General features: G+C 53.6%; 1 protein-coding gene across 28 annotated transcripts in view, besides 15 other annotated features; it reads right to left on the bottom strand.

The window, feature by feature from the left end:
* Nucleotides 1-23,332, bottom strand: part of LMNA (lamin A/C) — a 57,509-nt gene that overhangs the window by 4,676 nt on the left and 29,501 nt on the right. For 7 of the 28 annotated variants that reach the window (NM_001407000.1, NM_001406994.1, NM_170707.4 and 4 more), the window contains exons 1-5: nt 20,132-20,695; nt 4,633-4,789; nt 878-1,003; nt 431-601; nt 94-219 (exon numbers count right to left, since the gene is read on the bottom strand). In NM_001407000.1, the coding sequence (NP_001393929.1) occupies nt 94-219; nt 431-576 (272 nt within the window). In that variant the 5' untranslated portion in view covers nt 577-601; nt 878-1,003; nt 4,633-4,789; nt 20,132-20,695. Of the gene's footprint in view, nt 1-93; nt 220-430; nt 602-877; nt 1,004-4,632; nt 4,790-5,497; nt 5,580-8,456; nt 8,671-8,754; nt 8,852-9,182; nt 9,237-20,131; nt 20,737-23,332 lie in introns of those variants that run through there. The other 21 variants (NM_001406983.1, NM_001282625.2, NM_001406984.1 and 18 more) reach the window with 10 other exon arrangements.
* Nucleotides 4,305-5,504: an enhancer, noted in NCBI's record as "MED14-independent group 3 enhancer chr1:156099693-156100892 (GRCh37/hg19 assembly coordinates)". NCBI's record gives its function as "activates an origin of replication core promoter dependent on BRD2, BRD4, P300/CBP and CDK7 cofactors, and independent of MED14, by STARR-seq in HCT116 cells {active_cell/tissue: HCT116}" and the evidence as "EXISTENCE:reporter gene assay evidence [ECO:0000049][PMID:35650434]".
* Nucleotides 7,860-8,845: an enhancer, noted in NCBI's record as "H3K27ac-H3K4me1 hESC enhancer chr1:156096352-156097337 (GRCh37/hg19 assembly coordinates)". NCBI's record gives its function as "activates a minimal SCP1, AML or CMV promoter by ChIP-STARR-seq in naive H9 embryonic stem cells {active_cell/tissue: H9 hESC(naive)}" and the evidence as "EXISTENCE:reporter gene assay evidence [ECO:0000049][PMID:30033119]".
* Nucleotides 8,921-8,970: an enhancer, noted in NCBI's record as "active region_1846". NCBI's record gives its function as "activates an Ori minimal core promoter by ATAC-STARR-seq in GM12878 lymphoblastoid cells {active_cell/tissue: GM12878}" and the evidence as "EXISTENCE:reporter gene assay evidence [ECO:0000049][PMID:35858748]".
* Nucleotides 8,991-9,200: an enhancer, noted in NCBI's record as "active region_1845". NCBI's record gives its function as "activates an Ori minimal core promoter by ATAC-STARR-seq in GM12878 lymphoblastoid cells {active_cell/tissue: GM12878}" and the evidence as "EXISTENCE:reporter gene assay evidence [ECO:0000049][PMID:35858748]".
* Nucleotides 9,974-10,268: an enhancer, noted in NCBI's record as "tiled region #4592; K562 Activating DNase matched - State 5:Enh". NCBI's record gives its function as "activates a minimal TATA promoter and a strong SV40 promoter by Sharpr-MPRA in K562 cells {active_cell/tissue: K562}" and the evidence as "EXISTENCE:reporter gene assay evidence [ECO:0000049][PMID:27701403]".
* Nucleotides 9,974-10,278: a biological region, named in NCBI's record as "Sharpr-MPRA regulatory region 4592".
* Nucleotides 10,209-10,278: an enhancer, noted in NCBI's record as "active region_1844". NCBI's record gives its function as "activates an Ori minimal core promoter by ATAC-STARR-seq in GM12878 lymphoblastoid cells {active_cell/tissue: GM12878}" and the evidence as "EXISTENCE:reporter gene assay evidence [ECO:0000049][PMID:35858748]".
* Nucleotides 10,299-10,418: an enhancer, noted in NCBI's record as "active region_1843". NCBI's record gives its function as "activates an Ori minimal core promoter by ATAC-STARR-seq in GM12878 lymphoblastoid cells {active_cell/tissue: GM12878}" and the evidence as "EXISTENCE:reporter gene assay evidence [ECO:0000049][PMID:35858748]".
* Nucleotides 10,820-11,807: an enhancer, noted in NCBI's record as "H3K27ac-H3K4me1 hESC enhancer chr1:156093390-156094377 (GRCh37/hg19 assembly coordinates)". NCBI's record gives its function as "activates a minimal SCP1, AML or CMV promoter by ChIP-STARR-seq in naive and primed H9 embryonic stem cells {active_cell/tissue: H9 hESC(naive and primed)}" and the evidence as "EXISTENCE:reporter gene assay evidence [ECO:0000049][PMID:30033119]".
* Nucleotides 11,422-11,591: an enhancer, noted in NCBI's record as "active region_1842". NCBI's record gives its function as "activates an Ori minimal core promoter by ATAC-STARR-seq in GM12878 lymphoblastoid cells {active_cell/tissue: GM12878}" and the evidence as "EXISTENCE:reporter gene assay evidence [ECO:0000049][PMID:35858748]".
* Nucleotides 11,612-11,661: an enhancer, noted in NCBI's record as "active region_1841". NCBI's record gives its function as "activates an Ori minimal core promoter by ATAC-STARR-seq in GM12878 lymphoblastoid cells {active_cell/tissue: GM12878}" and the evidence as "EXISTENCE:reporter gene assay evidence [ECO:0000049][PMID:35858748]".
* Nucleotides 13,782-14,768: an enhancer, noted in NCBI's record as "H3K27ac-H3K4me1 hESC enhancer chr1:156090429-156091415 (GRCh37/hg19 assembly coordinates)". NCBI's record gives its function as "activates a minimal SCP1, AML or CMV promoter by ChIP-STARR-seq in primed H9 embryonic stem cells {active_cell/tissue: H9 hESC(primed)}" and the evidence as "EXISTENCE:reporter gene assay evidence [ECO:0000049][PMID:30033119]".
* Nucleotides 17,423-17,922: an enhancer, noted in NCBI's record as "H3K4me1 hESC enhancer chr1:156087275-156087774 (GRCh37/hg19 assembly coordinates)". NCBI's record gives its function as "activates a minimal SCP1, AML or CMV promoter by ChIP-STARR-seq in naive and primed H9 embryonic stem cells {active_cell/tissue: H9 hESC(naive and primed)}" and the evidence as "EXISTENCE:reporter gene assay evidence [ECO:0000049][PMID:30033119]".
* Nucleotides 20,383-20,472: a silencer, noted in NCBI's record as "silent region_1421". NCBI's record gives its function as "represses an Ori minimal core promoter by ATAC-STARR-seq in GM12878 lymphoblastoid cells {active_cell/tissue: GM12878}" and the evidence as "EXISTENCE:reporter gene assay evidence [ECO:0000049][PMID:35858748]".
* Nucleotides 20,783-20,932: a silencer, noted in NCBI's record as "silent region_1420". NCBI's record gives its function as "represses an Ori minimal core promoter by ATAC-STARR-seq in GM12878 lymphoblastoid cells {active_cell/tissue: GM12878}" and the evidence as "EXISTENCE:reporter gene assay evidence [ECO:0000049][PMID:35858748]".

Here is a 23,332-nt window from a genome sequence, read left to right as displayed (position 1 = left end):
CCCACCCCCACCCCCACCCCCAACCCTGGGCTTCCAGCCTGCATCCGGCCCAGACTCTAGGCCCCTGGAGAGAGGGGTGAGGTGGGGTATCACCTGCTTCTGGAGCTGGCTGAGCTGGGCAGAGAGGCTGTCGATGCGGATGCGCGACTGCTGCAGCTCCTCGTGGGCAGCCCCCACCAGGTTGCTGTTCCTCTCAGCAGACTGCCTGGCATTGTCCAGCTGGAGGGGAGGACAAAGGGTTAGGACTGTGGTGACTGGGAGGGGTGGAGGCACAGGCCTGAGTTGGGCATCACTGCTACAGCCCCAGGTCCTGGGCCACCCTGAGCTCCCTGCCACCATCTGCCTGATCCCCAGAAGGCATAGCCCAGCGTGGGTAAGGGTAGGGCTGCCAAGGGCAGAGGCAGTGAGGGAACCAATCGAGAGCAAGCACCTTGGCAGAATAAGTCTTCTCCAGCTCCTTCTTATACTGCTCCACCTGGTCCTCATGCTGGGCCCGCAGTTCCTGCAGCGCATCCGCCAGCCGGCTCTCAAACTCACGCTGCTTCCCATTGTCAATCTCCACCAGTCGGGTCTCATGACGGCGCTTGGTCTCACGCAGCTCCTGGAAGGGTTGGAGGAAGGACACAGAAACCAAAATCAGAATTAGTTCCTGGGAGGCCAAGACCCAGGGGCGGGGCTCCCTGCCCAGCCCTACTCCATGAGCCACTACCAGCCCCACTTTAACCTGGGAGCTGAGTGCTGGCCACCCCCAACTCCCTGTCCACTAGGGCAAGGGACTCAGGAAGGCGAGCTCTGCACACAGCTGGTCCCCCCTAGCCCAGCCCAAGTCTGTCATCACCCAGCCCCAGCCCTCTGGCTTGCAAAGCACAGTCCCCACCTCACTGTAGATGTTCTTCTGGAAGTCCAGTTCCTCCTTCATGGTCTGCAGCCTGTTCTCAGCATCCACCCGCCGCAGCATCTCATCCTGAAGTTGCTTCTTGGCCTCACCTAGGGCTGCCTCAAGCTGTGAGGAAGCAGGCAGAGATGAGGAAAAGGGGTCACAGAACACAAGAACTGGAAGGAAGCTGAGAGGTGGGCTGCTGCCTGTGCACCCCTTCACACATGTGGAAACAGGTCCAGGGAAGGAGGGCCTTGGATGCCTGCAGGGGTCAGGACATCTACTCACTCACTCTTGGTAGGTACTGTGCTAAGAGAGAAAATATATATCTAATACAAAAAAGTAGCCAGGCATGATGGTGGCACACGCCTGTAGTCCCAGCTACTCAGGAGGCTGAGGCACAAGAATCGCTTGAATCCAGGAGGTGGAGGTTGCAGTGAGCCGAGATCGCACTACTGCACTCCAGCCTGGGTGACACAGCTAGACTCTGTCTCAAAAAGAAAAGATATATGCCCCCCAGCCACAGGACTCCCTTCTCTGGCACAACATAGCAACTGCTATAAAGGAGGTATGTGCAAAGTACTGAGGGGACATGAGAGAAGGAACCAAAGTATGCCTGGGGTACTTTTGGGGGGCTCTGGGAAGGCCTCCAAGAGGCTAAGACCCAAGGGACAGGCTAGCGGGGCCTACAGAGAGCTACTGTCATGATTTCAAGGGCAGAAACAAGCATGTACAGGCACAGAGGTATGAAGGCATGTGTGTTCTGGGGTCTTTGGAAAGATCAGTACTGCTGAAGCCTGAAGTACGGGGTGGGAAGGGATGGGAGAGGTGGCTGGGTCAGTAGGCAGGGGCTGGCTCATGAAGAGATGCCCTTATCTGCCATGAAAAGAACCTGAGGATGTTTGAGCAGGGGAGCACCACGCTTAGATTTTCTTTTTTTTATTTTTATTTTTTTTTTGAGATGGAGTCTCGCTCTGTCACCTAGGCTGGAGAGCAGTGGCGCGATCTCAGCTCACTGCAAGCTCTGCCTCCCAGGTTCATGCCATTCTCCTGCCTCAGTCTCCCGAGTAGCTGGGACTACAGACATGGGCCACCACACCCAGCTAATTTTTGTATCTTTAGTAGAGACAGGGTTTCACCATGTTGGCCAGGATAGTCTCGATCTCCTGACCTCGTGATCTGCCCACCTTGGCCTCCCAAAATGCTGGGATTACAGGCGTGAGCCACCACACCCAGCCGTATGCTTAGATTTTCATTTAAGAAAGCACAGGCTGGGCTAAGTGTGGTGGCTCATGCCTATAATCCCAGCACATTGGGAGGCTGAGGCAGGAAGATCTCTTGCAGCCAGGAGTTCAAGACCAGCCTCAACAACATAGAGAGAACACGTCTTGCCAGGCGTGGTGGCTCACGCCTGTAATCCCAGCACTTTGGGAGGCTGAGGCGGGCAGAACACCTAAGGTCAGGAGTTCAAGACCAGCCTGACCAACATGGTGAAACCCTGTCTCTACTAAAAATCCAAAAAGTAGCTGGGCATGGTGGTGGGCACCTGTAATCCCAGCTACTCGGGAGGCTGAGGCAGGAGAATTGCTTGAACCTGGGAGACAGAGGTTGCAGTGAGCTGAGATCGTGCCATTGCACTCCAGCCTGGGTGACAGAGTAAGACTCCATCTCAAAAAAAAAAAAAAAAAAAAGAGAGAGAGAGAGAGGAGAACATGGCTCTATTTATAAAGAAAAACAGGGCAAGGAAGCACAGGCTGATCAGTGCATCCAGGAAGGGCTGGGGGAAGGGTACAACTGGGAGGCTGGAGACCAGACCCAGGAGGAAGGTGGCCCAGCCTTGGTTCGGTGGTCAACCTGCTGGCTTCTCCAGGTCTTTCCCTGGTATACTATGATGGTAGGGCCTGGGAAGGGAAAGAACCCAGGATGGAAGCTTGGCCACTGACTCTAATCCTGGCCCCACTATGAACAGATGAGACTGTGAAATTAGGAATAAACTGCTTCTTTGATTCTTAGCTTTTATTTATTATTTATTTTTATTTTTATTTATTTATGTTTTTTTGAGATGGAGTCTCGCTCTGTTGCCTAGGCTGGAGTGCTGTGACCCGATCTTGGCTCACTGCAACCTCCACCTCCCGGGTTCAAGCGATTCTCCTGCCTCAGCCTCCCAAGTAGCTGGGATTACAGGTGGCTGCCACCATGCCTAGCTAATTTTTGTATTTGTAGTAGAGATGGGGTTTCACCATGTTGGCCAGGCTAGTCTCGAACTCCTAACCTCAGGTGATCTGCCCACCTCTGCCTCCCAAAGTGCTAGGATTACAGGCATGAGCCACCGTGCCTGGCTATTTTTTATTTTTTTTGAGATAGAGTTTTGCTCTTGTTGCCCAGGCTGGAGTGCAATGGTGCAATCTCAGTTCACCACAACCTCTGATCCTGGGTTCAAATGATTTTCCTGCCTCAGCCTCACAAGTAGTTGTTGGGACTACAGGTGTGTGCCACCACGCCTGGCTAATTTTGTATTTTTAGTAGAGACGGAGTTTAACCATGTTGGTCAGACTGGTCTCAAACTCCTGACCTCAAATGATCCACCCGCCTTGGCCTCCCAAAGTGCTGGGATTATAGGCGTGAGCCACTGCACCCAGCCCAATTCCTAGCTTTTAACATGATAAATTGGAGAAGAGTGTTTTGAAAGTAAAGGCCACTCTATATACACAAAGCATTATTAACACATGTCCCATATGTAATTAGCCATCCGCTTCTGATGGCCTCAATAAATGATCAACTCCAGTCCTCCTTTTCCCCAGAGAAATCACAAGGGCCTATAGGAGGCCCTTGTATACCGGAGGGCCAAACTGGGAGGGATCTAGGGTCAGGTACAGTTCATTGCAAAGTTAAGTAGAAATGGCTTGTGGATTATTTTATTTTATGTATTTATTTATGTAGAGACAGGGTTTCCCTCTGTCACCCAGGCTGAAGTGCAGTGGTGCAATCACAGCTCACTGTATCCTCGACCTCTCAGGTTCAAGCCATCCTCCTGCCTCAGCCTCCCAAGTAGCTGGGACTATAGGTGCACACCACCATGCCCAGCTAATTTCTTTAAATTTTTATTTTCTAGAGATGGGGTCTGTGTTGCCCAGGCTGGTCTCAAACTCCTGGACTCAAGCAATCCTGCCTCCTTGGCCTCCCAAAATGCTGGGATTACAGGCATGAGCCACCACACATGGCCTGGATTATTTTTATTATTATTATTATTATTTTTTTGAGACGGAGTCTCACTCTGTTGCCCAGGCTGGAGTGCAGTGGCATGATCTCAGCTCACTGCAAGCTCTGCCTCGCAGGCTCACGCCATTCTCCTGCCTCAGCCTCCCGAGTAGTTGGGACTACAGGCGCCCGCCACCATGCCAGGCTAATTTTTTGTATTTTTAGTAGAGACGGGGTTTCACCATGTTAGTCAGGATGATCTCGATCTCCTGACCTCGTGATCGGCCCACCTCGGCCTCCTAAAGTGCTGGGATTACAGGCGTGAACCACCATGCCCGGCCTCCTGGATTATTTTAAATTCACTGTGGTAGATCCCATTGGCAGCCAAATTAGGATAAGATGTGACCTCAGTGGGTAAAATGACTCTAGGACAGGTGAATGGCTCTGAAATCAGGTGACAGGTCAGACCAGGCACCACATGGGGGAGGGCCTAGGTAGAAGAGTGAGTGTACATGTGTTAGGTGGGGCCATGGGTGGGCCCTGCAGGGTGGCCTCACCTTGGCCACCTGGCCCCGCAGATCATGCAGCTCGCCCTCCAGCGTGCGCTTCTCACTGAGAGCAGTGCTCAGTGCGGCCTCCTTGGAGTTCAGCAGAGCCTCCAGGTCCTTCAGCCGAGCCTGAGCAGCTATCAGGTCACCCTCCTTCTTGGTATTGCTAAAGAAGAGAGGGGAGAGTAGATTTAAGAGAAGGAGTCTGTGTGCCTAGACAGTGCCAGGCTCCCAGGAGGTCAGCCATGGGGGCTGGCGCTGCTATGCCTGCAATTACCAGGAGAGGGCATCCTTGCATTAGGTTGGTTTGCATCTGCTTGCCTCTGGGGCTGGGCTCCCACCTCCCCAAGGTCCTTGAAAACCCCCTTCCTGCTTCTCCACCCTTCCCATGACTCAGGGCTCAGGAACGTGCCTGGGGCCAAGGGCAGAGCTCTACCCCGTGATATGAATGCTTTTCCCTCTCTCTCCTCCCATTCTTTCCCAAAGAGACAGGGGTACCTTTGTCTCCTGCCCCTTCCCACACAGGGCCTTACTTAGCCTTCTCCCTGGACTCTACTCACTTCCCTTTGGCCAAGCTTCCCTCCCTCTGAGGAGCCTGACAACTAAGCTCATGGCCCACATGTCCCTAGCACTTCTCGATCTGAGCCCCAAAGGTACTGGTCACCTCTCCTAGTCCCTTTTACACATGTGGGACTGTGGGGAAGGAAAGTCTGGTTAGAGCTCAGAGGGACCTCAGACAAGGATGACCAGGCACAATATTGACCCTTTCCTTTCTCAGGACCCAGTCTGGGTGCCCTGATCTGCACTGAACAGAGGGGTCCCTGCCTCCCTCCCTCCTGCCTCATCCGTGCCCTGGGAGAAGGCTGAGCCCTACCCATCTACCATAGCCTCAGCATCTGGTTCCAGATGTGGATCCCAGGCCTCCAGGTCCATCTGGGCCCCAGCTTTAAGCCTCCCTGCTCCTCAAAGTGGGTAAAGCTTTAGCTATAACCAGTCGAACAGCGCTGCCTCTGCCACCTCCCTCACCTTTTCTGGGCCCCTGATTATTTTTGCTAGTGGACTGGAGAAATAGAAAGGTCCTATTTTCTTAAAAACCTCCAGAGAACCCAAGAACTTTCTAGATGTTACAATTGCTTCACAAATATAGGGTGAGAGAAAGCAGCAGACCCAGGGAGCGGAGGGAAAGATCCAGAGGACCTGGTTCCAGCTGCCATCTGTAACTCATCAGTGCTTAAGCATGAGCCCACCACAGCAGATGGAAAAAAGGAAAACCAAGCGTGGGCAGAAGGAAAAATCTATCCTGGAAAGGAGAAAAGCAGCCCTGCCAACATTTTTCTTCTACCACAAAAGTCCTAAACTCCAAGAGGCCCAGCAATTCACTGTGAAGAGGGATAGGGAAGGCTAGATTTGCAGAAGCTCTGGAGGACGAGACCCAGGCAGTGTTCTGCTTAGGAGAGTCCAAAAAAGGAGTCACCCCCACCTCCCCCCACCAGGCAGGGAGGAGGATAGAGTGACACTCAGAGGGGCAGGGGAAGGACATGAGAAGCCAGAGGAAGCTCCCCCAGCCTGCACACTTGCTCAGTCCAGGCCTCTGGCCACACCTCAGAACAAGTTGTTTAATGTAAGTGTCTGTCTCCTGCAAAAAAGAGCCCCTTCCAGAACCGGAGAATGTATTCCCTCCTCTGTCTCAGTCAGAAAAGCTAAAAATAAAGTCAAAACCCAGCTCAGGTTTTGGCTGCCATCCGGCCTAGCCCCTGGCTGGGAGCACAGCCCCAACTTTCCATGACTTCAGAACTTTTCCGAAGCTGAAGCAGCTGCAGGGGGAGGAGGGAAAATGAAGAAAAACCGCTGGTAAAGTGAAGCAACTGGGGCAACTTAGATTCCGAGCTCCTTGGGCTGACCCCCAGGCTGGCTGGGGCTTCCCAGAAGAGGCCTCTCTACCCTGAAGGCTAATGGCTGCTGCTGGCTGTACTAGGAGGCTCTCAGAATTTAGAGAACTAGAAGGAGCTTAGAGTTGATTCAGCTCAACCCTCTCCCTTTTATAGATGAGGAAACTGAGGTGCAAAGGAGGAAGGTGAATGGCCCAGTGTCAATTACCGAAAGCCAGCAGCAGCATTCCAGTCAATTCTAGCTGCTGATCTAGGGTTCCTCCTCCTCCACCTCACTGCTTTCCTAAGCCACAAGTTCCAGAGAGAATGGAGAAGCCAGGAGGAGGAAGAGGGCAGACACTATGGCACAAAGCGTTTCCCTGACCAGCCAGCCTGAGCTGAAAGAAGCTGGAAGGCAATGGGATGATTTCAGAAGGTGTCTCAAGGGCACCTTTTCCCTAGTCCTGTCTCCCCAGCCTCCTTAGGTGCCAGGAGGAATTCCTGGAGTTCCCCCTGGTAACAGCCTTTCCTTGCCAGTGCCTGGCAGACACTGACTGAGGAAAACATAGATGCATGATCCCTGTGCTCTGCGAGCTTATGGGCTGATGAGCACAGAAGTTTTTTCTTCAGTCTAACCTCTTCACCTTCTGCTGCTTGCAAAAGCGGTGGTGGCAGTGATAATAATAATATAATAGCAAACACTTATATAGAGCTTATTAGGTACCAAGCACTGCTCTAAATATTATGTTAACTCACGTCATCTTCACAGCTACCCTATGCGATAGGTGCTATTCCTATGCAATTGAGGAAATAGGCACAGAAAGCTATATCTAGGGTCCCGCAGCAAGTAGATAGGGGAGCTGGAAATCCATGCTGTACCACTTTGGCACAAGCCACAGTATATGGTCTCCAAGGAAAGTAAGGGGGCTGGCTGAGTGTGGTGGCTCACACCTGTAATCCCAGCACTTTGGGAGGCCAAGGCAGGTGGATCACTTGAGGCCAGGAGTTCGAGACCAGCCTGCCAACATGGTGAAACTCTGACTCTATCAAAAATACAAAAATTAGTCGGGCAAGGTGGTGCACGTCCATAGTCCCAGCAACTTGGGAGGCTGAGACACGAGAATTGCTTGAGCCTGGGAGGCGGAGATTGTAGTGAGTTGAGATTGTACCACTGTACTCCAGCCTGGGTGACAGAGTGAGACTCTATCTCAAAAAAAAAAAAAAAAAATTTAGCTGGGTACGGTGGTGTGCACCTGTAGTCCCAGCTACTGAGGAGGCTGAGGTAGGAGGATCACTTGAACTTGGGAGGCGGAGGTTGCAGTGAGCCGAGATTGTGCCACTGCACTACAGCATGGGTGACAGAGCGAGACTCCATCTCAAAAAAAAAAAAAAAAAAAAAAAAAAACAGTAAGGGGGTTATTTGTCTTTCCCTGGTGGAGGTTTTGACTAGCACTGCAAAGAGAGGAGATTAAAGGACTAAGACACACCCTGCAGATGAGAAAAACCACGAGCAGAGAGGGAAGTGAGGAAGAACCTTTGTGGTTTTCTTAGGCACGGGGAGCTCCCATCTGCGGGGAAGAAGCCACTATCACCCATGGGCTCATGACTCAGACCTTGGGAGCTCTGTGGCCAGGGAGCCACACGCACACCCCAAGAGATGACTAGGGGTACAGTAGAGCCCAGTGTCTCTCCTCCCTCCTCCCTGCCCCCGCCCCCAAGTGCCATTTCCTTCCTAGGAGGGGTCCTCAGACCTAGCAGGGACCAAAGTAGACCCTAGCCAGGCATTCGGTCCCAGGGTGGTGGTGCAGCCCACTCCACTGGGGGTTGGCATCAGGAAAGCTGAGCACACGCTGAGTGCCGTCCCCGTGCTGGGTTGGCAGGGAGGACAGGGTGGGGCAGGCCAGAGGAGCTGGGAAGGGTGGGAACCTGGGCCCCTCAGGTGACTCATGCTCAGGCACACAATACCCGGGCAGGGGTCGGGAAATCCTCTAGTGCTCACAGGGGAGACCCTGGCTTCGCCCGTGTCCTGCCCCAGGCCGGGTGCTGTGCCAGCAGAGTGCCAGTCCTTTCCCTTGCATCCTCCAGGTTCCCCAAGCACAGGAGTGGCTGCATCCCAGTGGCCTCTTGAGGCGAGAAGGGCTGGGCATCCTGTTTCTAACTCTTCCCATCACTGGCAAATCTGATCTCAGAAAGAGGGAAGAGAGGGGGTGGGGAGGGGAACAGAGAGGAAAAGAATAAGGTAGAAATGAGAGTTGGCACTTGCAAATGTGACCCAAGGCAGGGGTCTGAAGAGCTGTGCCTGGTGGGACAAGGAAGTCCGGCTCCCCAGCTGCAGCAGGCCCGGGCCCTTGGGGCTGTTTGGGGAAGAAAGGCACCAGCACAGCAAAGGGGCTAGGTGGGCACCGGGCCAGGCGCTGACCCACCCTCTGAGTCACCCTGCTCAGCCCAACTCTGATGCCAGATATGGAAGCCAGGGCCGGCCACAGGCCTGTTTGGGCCCGGTTGCTGGGGGCAACAGGCTAGGCCCGGAGGGAGAGGCCTCCGTTTCCTCTCCCAATCTGGGGGAGAAGCAAGAGGGACAGACACTGTAGCTAAAAATAACAAGTGGGAGGGGAAGACAAAGGGGAGGTGGAGGAGCTGGCCCAGCCCTGCAGGGACTCCTTAGACCCACTCCTCAGCAGCCCTGCTCACCAGCCCTCAGAGTTCCCCATTGCCAGGCAGCACACAGGAAGGGAGCAGAAGAGCAGAGGGTCTCCCAGCCCCTGGGCATTTCCTGTCTCCCAGGAACATCGCCCCCTGTGGCCGGGTGGGTACAGGGAGTCCGCCTGGTGGCAAATGCTCTCCTGTATCCTCCTGGGCATCTAATTTGTTTAATTTTAATTTAAAATTTTTAATTGTTTAATTTTAAAATTTTTCATTTATTATTATTACTATTATTATTATTTTGAGGTGGAGTCTCATTCTGTCGCCCAGGTGATCTCACTGCAACCTTCACCTCCCAGGTTCAAGTGATTCTCCTGCTTCTCAGCCTCCCGAGTAGCTGGATTACAGGCCTGCACCACCATGCCTAGCTAATTTTTCTATTTTTAGTAGAGACGGAGTTTTGCCATGTTGGCCAGGCTGGTCTCGGACTCCTGACCTCAGGTGATCCACCCGCCTCCACCTCCCAAAATGCTGGGATTACAGTCATGAGCCACCGCGCCCAGCCCCTATTATTATTATTTTTGAGACAGAGTCTCACTGTGTTGCCCAGGCTAGAGTAGAGTGGCGCGATCTCGGCTCCCTGCAACCTCCACCTCCCAGGTTCAAGCAATTCTTGTGCCTCAGCCTCCAGAGTAGCTGGGATTACAGGCGCCTGCCACCACACCCAGCTAATTTTTGGCATTTTTAGTAGAGATAGGGTTTCGCCATGTTGGCCAGGCTGGTCTTGAACTCCTGACCTCACGTGATCCTCCTGCATCAGCCTCCCAAAGTCCTGGGATTACAGGCGTGAGCCACCACACCCAGCCCCTCCTGGACACCTAGACCTCTGCCCAGGCTGACTTCCCGCCATGTGACAGGGCGTCTTCTGCTGCCACCCCAAGCCACTCCTACCACCCCTCCTTTTGTTCCAGCAACTCCTCCTACTGCAATATATCCTCCTTCTCTCTGTCCCTCCCTCCCATTCACCCAAAACCTCCCTACCCCTCAGCCTACTTGAGCCTGTCTCAGCTCTGCCCTGCTGATTTCAGCCAGTGTTCTACCTGTTGGGTCGTGGGGCTTTTTCTGTGTGTCCCACAAATACCCGGAGACTAGACGGTTCACAGGCTCAAGGCTTCTAGAGGAACCTTCTCTTGAACCAACTCCTATACTTTTACAGGGGGAAACTAAAGCCTGGAGACGGGTAGGCTCAGGCACTAAAAACCTGCCCCCAGGTCACCTGAGGACACTCACAGCAGATTGGTGCAAAACATAGAAAATGGCACGATACACACAGACACTGCAGAGAATAACACAGAGAGACCCAGTAAGACAGTCTGGGAAGCGTGTCTGCCTCTGTCTCGCTTGCTGGGAGATACCCCAGTCAGAGAGTGATACGGAGGCCTAGTGAAAGTGCCACTCCCACCCACCCTCAAATATACACATACTCACACCTTTGTGTGCGGCCAATCATGAGGTTTGATAGCCCCTACCTCCCCCCCAACCCGGCAAAGTAACCACTGCTTGGTTTCTTGGCTAGTCTGTGGGTCTGCCACAACTCGGGTAAGGGCAGGATGTGGAGAATTCCCCTCCCTGGCATTTGAGGTGCTATCCCTCTCTGGAAAGGAGACCTTAAAGAGAGGAACTGAGGCTGGGCGCAGTGGCTCACGCCTGTAATCCCAGCACTTTGGGAGGCCAAGGTGGGTGGATCACGAGGTCAGGAGTTTGAGACCATCCTGGCCAGCATGGTGAAACCCCATTTCTACTAAAAATACAAAAATTAGCCAGGCATGGTGGCGGGCACCTATAGTCCCAGCTACTTGGGAGGCTGAGGCAGGAGAATCACTTGAACCCAGGAGGCGGAGTTTGCAGTGAGCCAAGATCGCGCCACTGCATTCTAGCCTGGGCAACAGAGCGAGACTCCATCTCAAAAAAAAAGAGAGAGAGAGAGAGGAACTGAGGGGGGCAGCTGTTCCAGGGACTTAGAAGCCCCTTGAGCCTTCCCCAAACCCCAACCTGTGAAGTTCTGAATATCATACACCTCAAAAGCCCACAGGTGCCCCAGGATGAAACACCCCGACTCCCTCACGCGGGCATGTGCACCCACAGCAGGCATGGCTCTGCTTCCACACGCTTCCCTTGGGCGTGACACCTGCCAAACAGCCAAATATGCCTAGGGTCTGAGGCCTCTCAGATCCCCTACCAGAGCCACTAGGCTCCCAGCTGTCCTTCCCTAAGACAAAGCCAGGTTTTAATTCCAGGCAGAGGGAGGGGCTGAAGTGGGGAGAACTGGTGCTGAGAGAGGGATAGGAAGCCTGTTGACATGTTCAGACGCAACTCCAGTAGAAGTGCTGGGCCTGGCAGGGGGCCAGGCCTGAGTCACAGCTGCTGGGCGTATCAACGTGGCATTGTACAGAGGCAGGAGAAGCCTGAGGCCGGAGGCCAGGGCACTGGGGTCCTGGACAATGGGCGGCTGGCTTCCTCACCAGCCGCCCCCTGCAAGGTCTCCTGCCAAGTGCCACTTTCCTTCTTCCTGGCCTCTCTCTCTAGAAATCATTCCGGTGTTGTCACAAAAATGCAGGGGTGGGGCTTGGGGATAGAGCAAAAGAAGTAGTGCCTGGAGGAGGGAGGGATGGCCTAAGAAGATAGTAGAATGTCCTGAAGGGGGCGGGAGGGAGGCCAGTGACCAAAACGAGGGACATTTAGGGGATTCCCTTCACAAGAAGCCAATTCAGCAGCCCCTTAACTCTCTATCTGGTGGCACATAGTTATTAACCCTGAGGACACTGGGAGAGAGTGGGAGCCACACCCCAAGGTCAGGAGAAGAAGTGAGGGAGGACCTAGGCAGTCTGGTCTCACTGCATTCCAGCTCTAGCCTCAGAAGACACAGCTCTCTCCTAGCCAGCAGAAGGTGGCAGTGTTAGAGCTTTGGGAAGAAAGGGGAGCCTTGGTGACCCCAAATAGCCTCCTTCTCAACTGCCCAGAACCTAGACCCCTTGAAATGAAGTCTAGCTCCCCTGAGCCAGACCTAAAGGAACTCATGTGTCCTATCTCCCTTCCATTTGTCCCCGTCAAATTCAGACCACTGTCCTTCTTGCTGCAACTTGAATGTAGTTCTCAAGAAAAGGCCACCCCTCAGCCTCTGCTTTTCTGACTGGACAAGCTTAGGGTCTCCTGTCCACTCTCCACTCTGCCCTCTACCATGACTCAGCGCCCCTGCCGGGCCTGGGATCTCAGCCAGAATTATTCCTGGCTTCAGCAGGCAGGATTCCGGCTTCCTCTCTCACAACTTGGGGGAGGCAGGGGTGAAGGGAGGACTCCCCTTCCCAAACTCTTTCCCCTTCCTTAAGGGATTGGTAGGGGCCAAGACCTCCTCCCAGCCCAGCCGCAGGTTGGGGGAGCCAGTATGGGTGCTGGAAGGGTAGAAGGTGGGCAGCCCAAGGTCACCGTGCCCCTCCCCCCGGTTCCAGGCACTGTTCTCTAATCCTGGCCAGCTCTAAGGTAACAGTTCTGCCTCTCCTAGGCCTTCGCCCTAGCCCCCAACCCGGGTCAATGGGAGCCATTCCTGTGCCGCATCTCCCGTTCCTACTCTATGACACAGCCCTTTCCACCGTCCAGAAGGGAGAGGCATCGAAAACGAGTTGCCCTTTCCTAGTAGCAATGAAAACAAAACATTTGCCAAGAGGGTAATGTCACAATTTAACCATTTCTAACAAACTTTCACGGGGAAATAGAGAAATGTGGTAGTATGTTTAATTCCACAGCTTGTGGGAAACATTTCTATTGAGAACAACATTAGCTATTAACTATATTCACATTATTTATATTTGATTTTACTATTAATAACTTGGTATTTTAGAAGACTGTTTTCTCACTTTGTGGGTCACTGTACTACTTTGGAACCTAAAAGGTCTCTGGAGACTTTCCGCTCCAATCCCTTTCTTTTACAGCTAAGGAAAGCCAGAAAGGGGAGGCGATTTGCTCAAGGTCACACAGCAATTTAGTGAAAGGGCCACACACAGAACTAAGGGCACCGAGGGCTAGGGTGTCCACTATATCACACTGCCTGTCATTTTGTTGGTGGACTACCTTGCCCCTTATTTATTTATTTATTATTAGTATTATTTTTTTGAGACGGAATCTTGCTCTGTCGCCCTGGCTGGAGTGCAGTGGCGTGATCTCGGCTCACTGCAACATCTGCCTCCTGGGTTCAAGCGATTTCTGGTTAATTTTTGTATTTTTAGTAGAGACAGGGTTTCACCATGTTGGCCAGGCTGGTCTCTTAACTCCTGACCTGAAGTGATCTGTTCCCCTCGGCTTCTCAAAGTGCTGGGATTACAGGCGTGAGCCACTGCGCCCGGCTTGCCTTGCCCCTTATTGAGGGATAAGAGACCCTGCAATCTTCCAGAGATCTCCTATAATATTAGAGTTCGGCCTATCAGTACACTGGGACCCCAAGGAGGTGAGAATGGAATGAACCCTGCCCTTGTGTCTGGGTCTCTGAAGACTTGGTCTTGGCTGCTGCAGCTGCTAGGGGTGGCGAGGGGCTGGGGAGGAGGGAAGCAAGGGGGAGGGGAGCAGAAAGCACAGTTGGTAGGTGAAGGGATCTACCAGTTGTCCATCCAGCTGTCCTGGGCTTCAGCGCAGACACTAAGCTACCGAATCACTGGGGGGTGGACCTGGAAGTGGGGGCAATGGGCACATCCATGGAAGAGTAAGTCTCAGACTCCTGGAGGCCAGGGGAAGTGCCAAGCAAGGGCACCAATAGTGGGAAGGCAATAGGGGGTCCTAGTGAGGAATTATTCTCTCTTTTGTTTCTCTTGGGCTTTTTAAGTACTTCTCACCCCCCAGGTTTAGCTGCACCCTTCTTCTTTCCCTTTGAATCAGAACGTGGATTTGGGCTAGGCTCAGTGGCTCTCAGCACTTTGGGAGGTCAAGGTGGGTGGACTGCTTAAGCCCCAGAGTTCAAGACCAGCCTGAGTAACATGGTGAAACCTGGTCTCTACTAAAAATAGAAAAATTAGCCGAGCATGTGGCACGTGCCTATAGTCCCAGCTTCTTGGGAGGCTGAGGTGGGAGGATCACTTGAGCCTGGGAGGTGGAGATTGCAGTAAGCCAAGATCATGCCACTGCACTCCAGCCTGGGCCAGGGAGCGAGACTGTCAAAAAAAAAAAAAAAAAAAAAAAAAGAATGGATTTGGTGGTGGAGGGTTGGAGAGGTAACACCAGGAGATACCCTCAGATAAAGCCCAGGGCCCATGCATCCTCAAAGGTCTCCAACCCCATTAACCTAATGGGTCTGCCAAAAGGCACAGCTTCCTTTCAATCCGGGTGGACAATTCCCATGACAAGTCTCAAGATAGTCTCAAGACAAGAATCACCAGCCTCCCAGAGCTCTGACCGTCTCACGATTGAGGGGCTGGCAGGGGTCCTGGGTCCAGGTATAGGCTGGAGCAAAGGCTATCGATCATATGCTAACAGGCCCTGCAGGACAGCAGAGTTTTGTTTTGTTTTTTTCTTTTTCAGAGACAGGGTCTTTCTCTCTCCCAGGCTAGAGTGCAGTAGTGCAGTCATAGCTCACAATAGCCTCAAACTCCTGGCTTCAGGTGATCCTCCCGCCTCAGCTTCCCAAGCAGCTGGACTACAGGTGTTGACCGGCTAATTTTTTTGTACAGAAGGGGGTCTTGCTATGTTGCCCAGACTGGTCTCAAACTCCTGGCCTCAAGTGATCCTCCTGCCTTAGCCTCCCAAAGCACTGGGATTACAGGCATGAGCCACGAAGTATGGCCATAGAGCACTAAGGTGTCACTGGCCCCAGAGCAGAGTTTCCAGGCTGCAGAAGTGAGCCTCAGCTACCTGACTTCACCTTACCTCACCCTCTAGATCCTCCCTCCAACCTGTCCCCCAAGCTAGAGAAGTGAGGCTTAATGGTAAGAGCACACCCAGCTGGAAGTCATAAGGCCTGTGATCAAGTGCTGACCCCTTTATTGTGTGACATGGGACAAGCATCTGTGCCTCTGTGGCCTTTGCTGTTCTTGTCTTGATCAGAGCCTACATGAACTGGAGCCTGCATCTCCCTGCCTGTCCACACTGGGGCTGCAACAGTGGGCAATCCAGGAAGTTGTCAAGCACCAGGGCCTTTTTGGAGTGGAAGTAGCGCTTCTGCTTTGTGGGCCTCGGATCTCCCCACTTCTGACTCAGCCTTCCTCCATCAGTTTCACATGGGAAGGCACAGACCCTGGCACTATCCTGCAGCCCAATCCATAACTCTGAACTCAACTCTGGATTCTAATTACTTGTGCATGTTACCTGTCCAGAGAGAGCTATGTGTCCAGACACCACCAGAGGGTCTCAGGAAGGAGCCAGGCAAGGGACTCCAGGATGCAATGGGGAGGGGGGCAGAAGAGGTAGACATTCAGACCACCACTCCTCCCTTTAAGACAACTGCTGTCTCCACCCTGTCTCCTGCTGTCTTCTGTAAAGCCACCAGGGTGGGAGGGAGGGGGGCAGCATCTGAGTCATCCACCCAGCTGCCTTGCCTGGGGTGGGGCCCAGCTGCAAGCCTGGACTCCAGACAGGCTTCCCTGGTGCTTACAACCTTCCCATTCTGCCTGCACTTGGGTATCCAAATCCCTTGGGCTACAGACTAGAAAGAGACAGAGAAGGGGCAGGGGGTACCAGGTGCGGTAGCTCATGCCTATACATCCCAGCACTTTGGGAGGCCAAGGCCAAGGCAGGTGGATTACTTGAGCCTAGGAGTTCGAGACCAGCTTGGGCAACACGGTGAAACCCCATCTCTACAAAATATATAAAAATTAGTGGCCGGGTACGGTGGCTCACACCTGTAATCCCAGCACTTTGGGAGGCCAAGGTGGACGGATCACGAGGTCAAGAGATCAAGACCATCCTGGCCAACATGGTGAAACCCCAACTCTACTAAAAATACAAAAATTAACTGGGCGTGATGGCATGTGCCTGTAGTCCCAGCTACTCGGGAGGCTGAGGCAGGAGAATCGCTTGAACCTGGGAGGTGGAGGTTGCAATGAGCCGAGATCGCACCACTGCACTCCAGCCTGGCAACAGAACAAGACTCCGTCTCAAAAAAAAAAAAAGAAAAAAAAAATTAGCTGGGCATGGTGGCACACACTTGTAATCCCAGCTACTCAGGAGGCTGAGGTGGGAGAATCACCAGAGCCTGTGAGGCTGACGTTGCAGTGAGCTGTGATCATGCCACTGCACCCCAGCCTGGGCAACAGAACAAGACCCTGTCTCAAAAAAAGAAGAGAGAGAGAGTATTGGCGAAAGGGGTTTCTTCTTGGAGCCTATAATCCAGCCCAACAGAAGGTCCCCCAAACTCCTGAGTGTGGTTGAGGTACCCAGGCTGGGTCAAAAATTGCTACAGGGTCTTAAAAACAACTTTCCATCCCAACTCCAAATCTGGCCCTGAACTCTGAGCTCTAATTAAACATTAAACCAGACAACACCTTCTCTCTAGGCTTTGGTGGGAGGGGTTGGGAAAATGCCTTTTTTCCTCTCCCAAATTCTTTACTCTACCCACTTCTCTACCTCACTCTGAGCACAGCAGACCCAGCAGGGAGTAACCAATCCTGGCTCCTCCTACTGTGGGCATAGAAGAGGACAGACACCCCAGTCTGAGTCCCCTTTGTCTTCACCCCACTTTCTATCAGCTTGGGATCCAGGTGTGCAAATCCACCTCTCTTTTCCGGAAGCCCAGCCTTTCCAGCCAGGATCAGTGGGGGAGAACAGAGGGAGGTGGCTAAATATAACAAGTACACACACCACCTCCGCCCTGCCCCACATGCGCACATACCCGCCTGGTGTCCCAGGCCTGGACAGCTGCACTAGGAGGCAGAGGAGACAAACTGGCGTGGCTGGGTGAGCAAGAGAATATCGAATCCACTCAATCTGTTTCTCGATCAAAGTTTTGACCAGAAAACTGCTAAAACTGCTAAAAATGTCCTTCACAGGGCTTTGGTAGATGAGTGGACTAGTTTAGAATGCAACGAATTCTCTGGGTCTCCCCTTCCTTGCTTCCTATCTGTCTTGCTAACTAAATTGTTCATATCACTAGTAGAAAAAAGACAGGCCTGGCGTCAGGCCTGGTGGCTTATGCCTGTAATCCCAGTGCTTCCGGAGGCCGAGGCAGGAGGATTGCTTGAGGCCAAAACTTCGGAACCAGCTGAGCAACATAGCAAGTTTCCATCTTTACAAACAAAAAGCAAAAAAAAAAAAAAAAAAAAAAAAATTAGCCAAGCGTGGTGGTGCCTGCCCTTAGTCTCAGCTATTCCGGAAGGTGAGACGGTAGGATCGCTTGAGCCCAGGAGGAGTTCCAGGCTGCAGCAAGTTATGATTGTACCATTGCACTCTAGCCTGAGCAACAGGGCAAGGCCCTGTCTCTGAAAAATATAATAAAAATAAAGAAAAGGACAGGTGTGGTCTCTTTCAGCAGAATGAACCCAGGAGTTCAAGACTGTGGGCAACATGGCAAAACCCCATCTCTACAAAATAATACAAAAACATTAGCTGTGGGTGGTGGTGCCTGCCTGTGGTCCCAGCTACTCAGGAGGCTGAGGCGGGAGGATGGCTTGAGCCAGAGAGGTAGAGGCTGCAGTGAGCCATGACCTTGCCACTGCACTCCAGCCTGGGTAACAGAGTGAAACCCTATCTCAAGAAAAAAAGAAGCCAGGCGCAGTGGCTCCCGTCTCTAATCCCAACACTTTGGGAGGCTGAGGCAGGCAGATCACTTGAGGTCAGGAGTTCGAGATCACCCTGGCCAACATGGTGAAACCCCGTCTCTACTAAAAATATAAAAAGTAGCCGGGCGTGGTGGCAGGCACCTATAGTCCCAGCTACTTGGGAGGCTGAGGCAGGAGCATGGCTTGAACCTGGGAGGCAGAGGTTGCAGTGACCTGAGGTCACACTACTGTACTCCAGCCTGGGCAACAAAGCAAGACTCCGTCTCAAAAAAACAAAATAAAGGTTGATGGCCGGGCATGGTAGCTCACACCTGTAATCCCAGCACTTTGGGAGGCCGAGGCAGGTGGATCATTTGAAGTCAGGAGTTTGAGACCAGCCTAGCCAACATGGTGAAACCCCATCTCTACTAAAAATTAAAAAAAAAAAAAAAAAAAAAAATAGCCATGTGTGGTGGCACACACTTATAATCCCAGCTACTCAGGAGGCTGAGGCAGGAGAATCTTTTGAGCCTGGGAGGCAGAGGTTGTGGTGAGCCAAGATCGCACCACTTCACTCCAGTCTGGGTGACAGAGTAAGACCCTGTCTCAAAAAAAAACCGTTAAGCCTGTCTTCCTACACACAACTTCCATTGACTCTTCAGAAAGAAGGGTGATGGGCCCAGCGTGGTGGCTCATGCCTGTAATCCTAGCACTTTGGGAGGCTGAGGCGGGTGGATCACCTGAGGTTGGGAGTTCAAGACTAGCCTGACGAACATGGAGAAACCCCATCTCTACTAGAAATACAAAATTAGCCCGGCATGGTGGCACATGCCTGTAATCTCAGCTATTCGGGAGGCTGAGGCAGGAGAATCACTTGAACCTGGGAGGCGGAGGTTGCAGTGAGCCGAGATTGTGCCATTGCACTCCAGCCTGGGCAACAAAACCACACCTAGCAAAGGGTTCTAGGAAGAGCAGAAGTTTGGAGTAGATGATAAAAGAGAGAGAAGAAGTCAAAGCCAACAGCCCTTTACGGATCTCCAAGCACCCTTAGTGCTCTTGGCCTGGGTCTGCATAGAGAAAGGGAAGGCAGGAAGAAGGGAAACAAATTTTGATGGGGCTGGAAGAGAGGGCCTATACTTCCAAGCTCCCAAAGGCTTTTTTAGAAAAGAAGAAGGTGCAGTTGAGTAGGGTGGGGTAGGGTGGGGCAGGGGTGGGTAAAGTGGGAGTGGCCTGAATCTTCCAACGGCTGGATTTCAAAAATGTCACTGTATTCCAGCACTTCAATAAGACAAAGATCAAAACGTCAGCAGCTAAGAGGATGGGCCCGAGCAAAGACTGCCTGGCCCCGCTGGGAAAATGAAAGTGGCTCACCCCAAGGAGGGAAGGACAGTGCCCCCAACCCTCGAAGACACTAGGCAGAGGGCCAAGGGAGGAGTGCGGCCAGACCTGGGCATAACACAACTTCCTGAGCTGGGAGCCTCTGCCCTCTGCCTCCCTCCCTCCCTTGCATTCCTGGGCCAAGCAGGCCAAGGGCTGTGGGAGCTGCGGGGGAGCCGATCTCTCATCTCCCGGAGCTCTTTTGGTGGGCCTGTCAGAGCCCAAGGAAGGTCCCAGACACGCAGAGTGGCAGAGTGAGGGAGAACTTCCCAACCCTTAGAACCCAGGACAAGGTCATGCTGAGGGGGGGCCACCGCCAAGCCCTTGGGAGGGAAAAGGGGGATTGCCCTGCCTTCCTGACCTCGCTCCAACACGCTGGACAGATGCCAACTTGAGAGTTATGTCTTAGTGGGCATCATGTGTTCAGAGCCAGCTTGGGCAAAGCTAGCACAGTGCCAAGCCCGCTAACAAAGTTCTAACAGGACCCTTTCTGCCACTCCGATGTGTCCTGGGTGCCCAGAGTTCTTCGAGCTGGCAGGGCTAGTTCTGTTTTGCTCAAGCCCCTCCCCCCGGCTCCAAATAGTTGGCAAATCCCAATCTGACCGAATTCAGGCCGGCCCCAGCCCCAACTTGTCCCTGATACCCCCACCATTCCTTATATCCTCCCCGACCCTCTCCCAGAGACCACCACTTCCCTCTCTGTCCTGTCTTGACAATTCCCCTTGACACTGCCAGTCACCCGCTGGGGGCAGTTCCGGGGAGGGAGGAGACTATGGCAAAGTTATCGGCCTCCAGGCCCTCTCACTCCCTTCCTGCGGCCGGCCAGGGGCGCCGGCCCGCCGCCCTCTCCACTCCCCGCCAGGCACGCAGCCACCTGGGCGAACTCACCGCGCTTTCAGCTCCTTAAACTCCTCACGCACTTTGCTCAGCTCCAGCTGCAGGCGGGCGCGCTCCTTGGCTACTGAGTCAAGGGTCTTGCGGGCATCCCCGAGCTCGGCCTCGTAGGCGGCCTTGATGCCGGACACCTCGCGGCTGACCACCTCTTCAGACTCGGTGATGCGAAGGCGCAGCCCTGCGTTCTCCGTTTCCAGCGAGCGCACACGGTCGATGTAGACCGCCAAGCGATCATTGAGCTCCTGCAGGTCCTCCTTCTCCTGCAGCCGGGTGATGCGGGTGGGCGACAGCGGAGTGGAGCTGGCCTGCGCCCCGCTGCGGGTGGCGCGCCGCTGGGACGGGGTCTCCATGGCCGGCAGGTTGGCAGCGCTGCCCGCGGGGCAGGGGTCCCGGAAAGGGCGCGGGGCTCGGGTCGAAGGACAGAGACTGCTCGGAGTCGGAGTGCGCCGGCCGGCTGGCTCTCGGCTTGCTCCTGGCAGGCGTGGGGATCTGGGCCGGGCGCTGTCGGACCTCGGGATCTGGGTTGGCTGGTGTAGGTGCGGCGCTCCCGCGAACACTGAGTCACCGACGCCGGGGCAAAGGCTCTAATAGGTCCTCCTCTGAAGGGAGGAGGGGCCACTACTCTTAAAGGGGCAGTCCCAGATCCATTGGGGGTGGGGGCGGGAGTGGTGAGGAGGGGGAAGGACCGTTGGGGTGTGGCGGAGTCGGGCCCCACCCTCTCCAGCGCACCCCTAACTGCGTGAGGCTCAAGCTTCCCCTCTCTTGGCTCCTGCCTGCTCAGCACTGTCGGCTCCAAGCTTGCCCCCATTGCCTCAGACCTTCTGGGCTAGAGGGCAGAGCCAAGGAGGGAGAGTGGGTGGGCAAAAGGGTCGGGGAGAAAGAGAGGGAAGTGGGCGCAAAGCAAGGGAGAGGGTCAGGTAGGCAGGGCTGGGAGCCAGGAAAGTGGGGGGAGGGCTGAGGCTGGTGCCCATCAGTGTGACTCACCCTTCTTCCACCACTGGCTCCCCCTGTCCTCCCAGTAGTAATAGTGAGTCACCCCAACCCCCCTCCACACGTGGGCAGCCCATTCAGAGCTGCATCTCAGTGTGCCAGGAGTGGGGTGGAGAAGGAATGCCTGGGTTCCCTGGGGGGAGCAAAGTTCTGGAACCTGAGTTCCTTTATGCCCCCAGTTTGGGGCCAGGGATCAAGGAGTTTGGGGGGTCCCTTTTTTTCTTTCTTTTGCCCCAATCTATCTCTCTTCAAAGCCAAGCATTCGTTTTTAGACCCAAGCAACAAGCCACAGTCCCCTAAAGAAGTCCCCTAAAGAAAGCCAAGAATAGGAGCCAGGCACTGCCCCTTCCATCTCCTGTCCCCTTCCTTTGGACCCAAGCACTGCCTGGGTTCCTTCCCCCTTCAGTCCCTTTCTACTGCTTACCGCACCCAGTCAACTTATTTTTTTCCCCCAGAACTGTACTTATTTTAATGGATAATTTAAAACAGATACCAGAGCTGTGCATGCATTCATTACGTTGCCAAGACACTAGGTCCCAGATTTCTGTGGTTCCCAGAGGGGCCTGAAAGGGGAAGCAGGGCTGGGGGCTGGACAGCCAATATTGGGTCTCTATCCTGGTTTCAGCCAGAAAGAAGGTAGTGGGGGGCAAGAAGGTAGTGGGGGACAGGAACAGCAAAGACCCCACAGCCTTGCTGGCTGCAAAGGCCAGCACCATACTCATCTCTACTTTCCTCTCTGGCCAGGTCCATTCTGCAGCTGGCTCTGGGGAGGGGCCAGGCTCTCTCACAAAACGAGATCACTCAGGTCCCCAGGGTTCGCTACCTCAGGCTCTGGAGCCTCCATCCTCAGGCCTCACCAAGGACCCTTTTGATAAGCCTTCCACTCCCCTCCCCTCATCCTGGCCCCTATCCTGGTCCCACCATCCACCTCATCCTCTGTTTGTTTGTTTTTTTTGTTTGTTTGTTTGTTTTTTTGAGATTAAGTCTTGCTCTCTCACCCAGGCTGGAGTGCAGTGGCATGATCTCAGCTCATTGCAATCTCCACCTCCCGGGTTCAAGAGATTCTCCTGCCTCAGCCTCCTGAGTAGCTGGGATTATAGGCACCTGCCACCAAGCCCAGCTAATTTTTTTTTTATTTTTATTTTTAGTAGAGATGGGGTTTCACCATGTTGGCCAAACTGGTCTCAAACTCCCGACCTCAGGTAATCTGCCTGCCTCAGCTTCCCAAAGTTCTGGGATTACAGATGTGAGCCACCATGCCCGTCCCACCTTATCCTCTCTAAGAGGTGACAGCATTGAGGCCTGGGTCCCATCTGCCTGCATGCCCTGCCCAACTGCCTCCCACAGCTTATCCTCCGATGAGCAACCAGGGAAATCAAATTATGTTGCTACCTTGTACAGCTCCAAGATATCAGGGCTTCCCTCAAACACAAGGAAAGCAGGGCTGGACAGGCCCTCAGTTCTGGGTTCTGAAGCCTGGCCTCGGGGTGGATGAGGGACTGGAGTGGGATTAAGGCAGGAACTTTGGTTATTAGGGGAGGGGAACAAGGAAAGTTCTCATCTCAGTGAGGGTGCCTGGGCAGCATGGTGAGCACTAGGGATGCACCCGGATGAGGGGGCCCAGAATATGGCTTCTCTCCCCCAGGGCGTGGCACCCACCCTCAGCTTCCCAGACAATAAAAAGTCTTGTTCTTCTCCACACCAGAAGCAGAGGCAGGAGGGGTAAGCCAGTGAAACGTGAGGGAAGGGTTCATGCTGTTCCCACTGCCTCAGCCCCTCCCTGGCACTCAGTGCCCCCTTTTCCCCTACCCAGCTGCTTGGCCTGGCTTCCTTTCCAGGCTGGGAAAGCTAAACCACACTTAACCCTTCCTGTCCTAGACCTCCCCGCTCTTTTTTTGAGAATCTTGGTCTGTCGCCCAGGCTGGAGTGCGGTGGCAGGATCATAGCTCACTGCAACCTTGAATTCCTGGGTTCAAGTGATTCTTTTATCTCAGCCTCCTGAGTAGCTGAGACTATAGGCTATCATGATAGAGACGGAGCCTTGCTATGTTGCCCAATTTGGTCTAAAACTCCTGGCCCCAAATGATCCTCACTTCAGCCTTCCAAAGCGCTGGGATTATAGGTGTGAGCCACTGTGTCTGGCCAGACCTCCCCATCTTGTGGAAAAGGTGCAGGAGAAAGAAGGAGGGCTTTCACCCCAAATTT

This window comes from Homo sapiens, chromosome 1, assembly GCF_000001405.40.
Source record: "Homo sapiens chromosome 1, GRCh38.p14 Primary Assembly".
In the NCBI taxonomy this organism is placed as follows: domain Eukaryota; kingdom Metazoa; phylum Chordata; class Mammalia; order Primates; family Hominidae; genus Homo; species Homo sapiens.
This window is presented reverse-complemented; position numbering and strand designations above follow the sequence as displayed.